The sequence below is a fragment of the Homo sapiens genome, chromosome 5, assembly GCF_000001405.40.
Source record: "Homo sapiens chromosome 5, GRCh38.p14 Primary Assembly".
Taxonomy (NCBI): Eukaryota; Metazoa; Chordata; class Mammalia; order Primates; family Hominidae; genus Homo; species Homo sapiens.
This window is the reverse complement of record NC_000005.10, coordinates 51,682,669-51,689,690: the sequence shown is the minus strand read 5'-3', so window position 1 is coordinate 51,689,690 and position 7,022 is coordinate 51,682,669. Positions and strand designations below refer to the sequence as shown.

The window sequence follows — 7,022 nt, the reverse complement described above, 5'->3', positions numbered from 1 at the left end:
GAGAATGGCACAGGAAAGACCCACCCCCATAATTCAATCACCTCCCACTGGATTCTTCCCACGACACGTCGGAATTGTGGGAGTTACAATTCAAGATGAGATTTCAGTGGGGACACAGCCAATCTACATCAATCATAAATATTAATAAGTAAAAATCACAAAGAATTCATAAATTCATCATTTAAAAATGTGACAGTAAATATGGTTGCCTGATTCAGTAAATAAAATATAGGATTCCTAATTAAATTTGAATTCTGGATAAAGAATAACTTTTTTTAGTACAAGAATGTTTCATGAATATTTGGGTTATACTTATACTAAAAATGTTATTTGCTATTTATTCATGTTTATCTGGTCATCTTATATTGTATCTGGCAACCATACCAGTATATTTGTATATAAAAACACATATATACATGTATTTTTTTAGTCATTGTTGTTTCTGTATACAGAATCTGTATTTGGGGTTCTTTTAAATGACACATTGCAAATGCACACAATATGGTAGATGAACTATGAAGGTCTCAGGAACATATGTATTTATAAACAAAAACGCAAAAATATCAGTTGGCATATGAGTTTGCTAGGGCTGTCATAACAAGATACCACAAACTGGGAGGCTTAAAAACAGCAACATATTTTCTCACAGTTCTAGAGGCTGGAAATCCAAGATCAAAGGGCTGGCAGGGTTGGTTTCTTCTGAAGACCTCGTGGGAAGGATCTATTCTAGCCCTCTCTCCTTGGCTTGTAAATGGCTGTGTTCTTCCTATGTCTTCACATTTTCTTCCTCTGTACGTGTCTATGTCCAAATTTTCTTTTCCCACAATAGGCACCAGTTATATTGGATTAGAACACACCTTCACGACCTCATTTTAACATAATTATCTCTGTAAACAGCCTGACTTCAAATACAGTCACACTCTGAGGTACTGAGGATGTGGTATATACTGAAATACTTCAGTATATAAAATTTGGCAGGGTCAGGACACAATACAGCCCATAAGTATTGAAAAGAAGATATGGAAAAGACTGAGGAGGATGAGAATGAGATACTGGCAATTAGAAAAATGAGAACCGATGTGGCATTTAGATTATGAATAAGAAATATTCCAACTTAAATGTGCTGTTATATTGCCGGTATGAGTTTTAGGAGGTAGTTACTTGAGACACTTAGCAGCTACTCATAGAGTTAGATATTGAAATCTCAGTAGAGCCAAGATTCCTACTCCCAGTAAACTAAGTCTCAGTGTGACAAATAAAAGAAAGCATGTGAGTGAGATAGGTAAACCCCTAAAAGTGTTATTTCATCTCCCTCTCTAATATTTCAAATGTAGACCAAAGGGGAAAAAAGAGGAGAATAAATTTGGAACCATATTTTAAAATGTTTTCCAATTCAGAATGCTTAATGGATGCATTGAAATTCACTTTGAATAATGAAAGCAATTTTTTTTTCTAAAACGCTCGTTTAAAACCATGTTTTATTAACAAAGCTCTTAGGGGAATATTCTCTACTCTCTCAGGAACAATCACCCTTGGTTAACACAGAACCCTGGTCCTGTTTATTAGAACACATTAAAAATCAAATCACTTTCTTCCCCTCATACTTGAAGAAAGCAAAAATGTTAAAACAATTTGATAAAGATTTAATCATATTTCAACATTACCTTGGACATACTTTATGTATGTGTAAATCTTAAAAATTCCATCTTATACAATTTTCTGATAAAATGGTATTCCTGTCTGTAATTTTTAAAATTTCACACTAATTTAGCTACAGTAATTTTCGTTTAAAGTAAGAAAATGCTTCACCAGGCAGAATATAATTTATATCATGACCACAAGAATAACATTATGAGAGAAAGGCTATTGTTCATATATTTCACAGATTCTCATGTTTTAAGAAAGAGTGTTGTAAATTCAGCTTACTAGAATCTTTAGTAAAATATATTTATCAAATTCATCTGTTTGATAGCACAAAACTTGAATTTTTTTCCTTTTATTTTAAGATTTTTCTAATCTGGCAGTGAACTGAATAAATCTGCAATGTCTGTAGCTGGTTTATTCATTATTCAACCTGAGAAAACGTACAGGATGGTAAACCATATAAGTATGCCACATATCATATCGGTGAGGCCTTCCTTGATGCTACCAGATGTTTTACTTGCTCTCCTGTGCCTGAATACATCTATCACTGTACTTATCATGTAACTAGAATTAATTGTTTGCATGTCTGTTGCCCCTTACAAAACTATGAGCTCAAGGGCTCCTATTTACCAACACTTAGCACAAACATATGGTTAGCATTAACTAAATAAAAGTCTGTTGGATGAATAAAAGAATGTATGCAATTAAAATAATTATAGTAATTATAGTAGTAACAGTTCTAATTTACTGAGACCTTATTATGTGATAGGTAGCATGCTAGCCGGGTTATATAGATTGCTTTCCTTTCTTCTCACAACAACCTTGTATTAGAGATGTTACCATTATCTATTTACTAGATAACGATATCAGACTTGAAACGATGAACAGCAGTCTTGTAGTTTCAACTGAAGTCTTTCTGTTTTCAAATCTTGGGACTTAGTATGGTATAGTTAGTAAGAGTCTGGCCTGAAGAACACACTGCCTAGGTTAGACTCCTGGTTAAGTCTCTTATTAGCTGCATGGCCATGGGCAATTTATGGAATAGTTCTAAGCCTCAGTATCTTAACATTCCTATGCCTTGGTTTCCCATTTGTAAGTTAGAAATAGTGAGAATTATCCATGTATGAGATTGTGTTGAGTTGCAAATGACTATTACACTCAAAGCACTTAGAATTATTCCCTGGCTCTGGTAAGTACTAGGTAAGTGTTAGCATTTTTATTAGCATAGATTGCATCCATATTATGCTATATATTTCGCATTGTAAATTTTTATTGCCTAATTTACCACTCTGCTTTCAGTTCTAGAATAAACTGCAAACCTGCTATAAGTTATTCACTCTGCAGTTACACTGGCACAATATTTACACAGGCCCTGGTCACTATTTCTTACAATCAAATTCCTTTGATACAAAGCTCAGGTTAAAACTGAGCAAGACCCTGCAGGTGTAACTTTGTGCTACCTAAACAAAAGAGATGAATAGATGAGGTGTCTGAGTATGTCTAGACAGAAACAGAATCAGAGAAACAAATGATCTGGGGCATCATATGTCATACTATTACAAGGCCGATTTGTCAGTATACTATACTTGGTGGAATATTGGATTTTGAGGAAAGAAAGGAAATGGTAAAGTAACATTGGTTAATTCACTGCAAGTATTCCATGTATTAGGTTTAACACAGATTTAAATAACAATAGCATGAAAAAAGGAAATGGAGCTACATATCATTGACATTGAATAGTAGCTCTGTTTTGGGAAGGTTATTTTATCTTTTAATGGTGCCAGGTGTAAGATACAAGGAAGACATTCCTGAAGGACATTGCAAGAAACAATAGAAATTCTTAAACAGAGAAACTCCTTGAACACTAGAAATAACCAGGATGATTTGTTGCCTTTCAGTATACAATATCCATTTGTTAACAGTGAGCAAGAATTAGTTCCACAAGCAATTAGTGCAATAACTTCCACTAATCTTGATCTGTTGCACCCTACAATTTGCTCTTAATATTAAATAAAATATTAAAATGTGTGACTGTTTTTATATCATCAACCTTAAAAATCTCACTAAGTTATTTTAATCAATATACTTGTTTTAAGTAAAAGCCATTTAATCTCCTGACTTATACATTAACCTTCCATTAAGTATTAGTGAAGAAGTTAAATGTACCTTAGTCAATAATGCTAATGCAGGAACTGTTGTATTACCTATGGAGAAATGCGTATTCATATTATGTTAAAGTGGCTATCCTTAACGATTAACCATTATGTGTTAGGAAACTGATAATAAATTTGAAATATTCCATGATAAAATGAATTATAATGTTGAAACTGAGTTCTCTGTACTGTAATAATTTTGAAATGAGGTCATCTGCTTCTTCTGGTCAGTGCCTTTTAAGGCAATGATATTGAAGTGATGAAGACACCCTCGGTGACACTTTAACCTCACCTTGCGGTTTCACATCTTGGTGGGTAATAAATGAGGCTGCTAATTGAAACTGAAATGTATGAATCTATTGCATGGTAGTGTTTTAGCAAGCACTCTTTTTGTTTAAATAATGTGCCAATATCTGTAAGCTGCTTACTGTATGTAGAATTTCTTCTACCTCAAAACCATGTTACACATTTTGGTCTATTTCTTTATCAAGAAATGATATTCATTTTCAATCTCCCTTCCAGCACATTCTTCTATTTCTCTAACATTCTTCTGCAAATTTCCTCCCCACCAAAATCTTATTTTATGGTAAGAGTATTAATATAAATTCTAATGGGTTTGCAAGACCACACAAATGCATTTGCTTTCTCATTGAGGAAAATTTATGTACCTAGGTAAAAAGCTGCTTACTAGATAGGCAAGGAAAATATGTAGACTCTAAATTTTCCAGATATCTCCTTCCACTGTTGCAATTAAAAATGAAGATGCTTATTCATCATTACAATTCCATATCCATAAATTTTCTTCCATGTTTGTATTTGACATAACAAATATGATTTCATAACTTAAGCAAAAAAATAACTCAATGTCAGCAAGTTGTCAAAATCATCTCAAATTAAATGGCTTATTGCTCTTGTCTTTGCCACCTGTAGGTGTCCTTGCAGTACCTCAGGAGAAGAGGCTAATATTTTGAAATATTTTTATATATGTGTGTGTGCGTTTCGTATATTTTCAGTTTATTAAGAAAAGTGCATAAAGTCTACATAACCCACTAAAATTGTGTCTTAACTTCTTTAAGACAACAATAGCCTTTTAATTTATTGATATAAAGGAACAAAACAGAAATTAATGTCTACTCTGATATTTAGTAAAATGTTTAAACCCATGGTGCCATTTTTTGCCTAATAATTTGTTTAAAACTATTCTGAGGCTGATGTTAACTCAATAGTTGCCTTATTCTTTATGCCAATTGCTTAAGATCTCAGTTCCTCCCTGTGGGAAAATATTTTTCCCATATCTCTTGTATCATCAGTTAAATAAAAGTTATTACATTTAGAGTTACATGGTGTTTTAATCACTTATTTGTTATATATTATAACATGCATAACTCCAAAATCAAAACTAAGTTTTTACATTGCATTATTTTAGGAAAATCTTTGTTAATAAAGAATTCATTCTGGGCACTCATTTTTCATAACCATCACTACATAATTTTTATCCCATTTCAAGGTGGCCTATGTTACTTTTATTTCATTATACCCTTATCCATAAAAATACTCTGAAAACCTCTTGGAATTTCAAACTTGCAAATGTTTTTGACTTTAAGAAGAAAATAAGATAACCAACCAGGACATGAAAACTGTGTGTAGTATTTATAAACACGTTTCTTTTATAGAAGTACTCTGCATTATTTCATCAACCTAGTAAGCGTCATACTTACATTGAACACTAACTATGAGGCAAGCATAATTTTCAATTCATTTTAGCTTCACAATGCTGCTGGACATATCTACTATTTCTCCTCTTAAAAATGGGAAAATACAGGTACAGAGAAGTTAAGTTTGTTCCCCACAAAAGACACAGGAGGATTTGGTCAGGATTTGGAGCTGGGCCATTGACTCTTGAGTCAACGCTTATACAATACCCTGCATTCCCATGATGCACTGTAATGAAGTACTGTGGAGAAAGGTCTTATAATTATTGAAAGATTCTTCTTTAATATATATTTTTCTTTTACTGATGAACAGGTTTGAGCAATGATAAAATTATACACATAGAGAATCATCGTGGGCTAACTCTTACAGAACCGCCTTTCTTCCCCTAAATGGGAGAAGAAAAGCAGAGATTTCATTCTGTAACATTGTCTTTACCACAGGCTTTTATTCAACATAATTCACTTTTTAAAAATTTTGAGAAAAATCAAGCTGATGGGGATTCTCTTTACTGCATTCATTCCTTAGAAGGCTCTGTAAGCTACAAGACAGCAGAAAATAAGATCAAGGTAGACAAGTGTCCGCATACATATTTAGGGGAATAGAAACCAAACTTCATTCTAACCCAGTGGTAACCAAGTAATCAGTTACTGTCCAGGAAACAATGAGGATGAAATAGGCTGCTCCCAGAGACATAAGGCTGTGTGAGTAAAAAGGGAACGCTGACTCCTGGGCAGCATCTGGAAGGATGACAGAAACTAAAGACAAAAGGTTGTCCTCCCCTGATGCATTGGTACTTTAAATAACTGAACATCGCCCAAAAAAAAGCAAGGAATATGATCAACAAATGAGGGCCATCCATAAAAGGATAGGCTCAGCACATTAGGACAAGGTAGATACGGAGATAGGATATCACTGCAAACTCTAACATTATGAAAGGAGATGCAGGAGACATTTGTATAGGCTGAAAAAACTCAGGTGGAAAATAAAATGAAGTAAAACCTCATCTTAAACAGGCACATATATACAACTCTTTATAACTAAGAAATAATGAGGAAAATGTACATGGATAGAATGAGAGCTATTGGCAGAAGGTAAGAAGACTTCAGTGATAGTCTTAATTGCTTTATGTCATATATATCCTATCTGGCTTTCTACAAATCAGCTATGAGAGTTCCTTGCACAGACAGAATACCAAATCAGATGCACCATGTTTATACAGCATGATATTAATTATGCCCCTTGCTCCACAAATTTTCCAGTCTTATCTCCATCCACAGTTACATGAGTTTAACCCCAGGAATTCTCTTAGATTTTAAACAAGCTTATAGTTGCTTTGATGAGGTGAATCACACATATGCAAAATAAATAAATAAATAAAATGATTAAATGGAGGTAATAGAAAGGCAGAGAATTACAAGTGGTGAAAATGACCTATCGATTAAGGAATATGCATCTTTTCTATAAGCAACATATTTTAAAAATGATATTTATTACCAATAAAGTGAGCAAACT

General features: G+C 33.4%; 1 annotated feature.

Annotated features, from left to right (window-relative positions):
• Positions 3,487–4,071: an enhancer, noted in NCBI's record as "CREST2 sequence used in transgene". NCBI's record gives its function as "activates a zebrafish isl1 promoter in spinal motor neurons of transgenic mice {active_cell/tissue: spinal motor neuron}" and the evidence as "EXISTENCE:transgenic organism evidence [ECO:0001131][PMID:15680372]".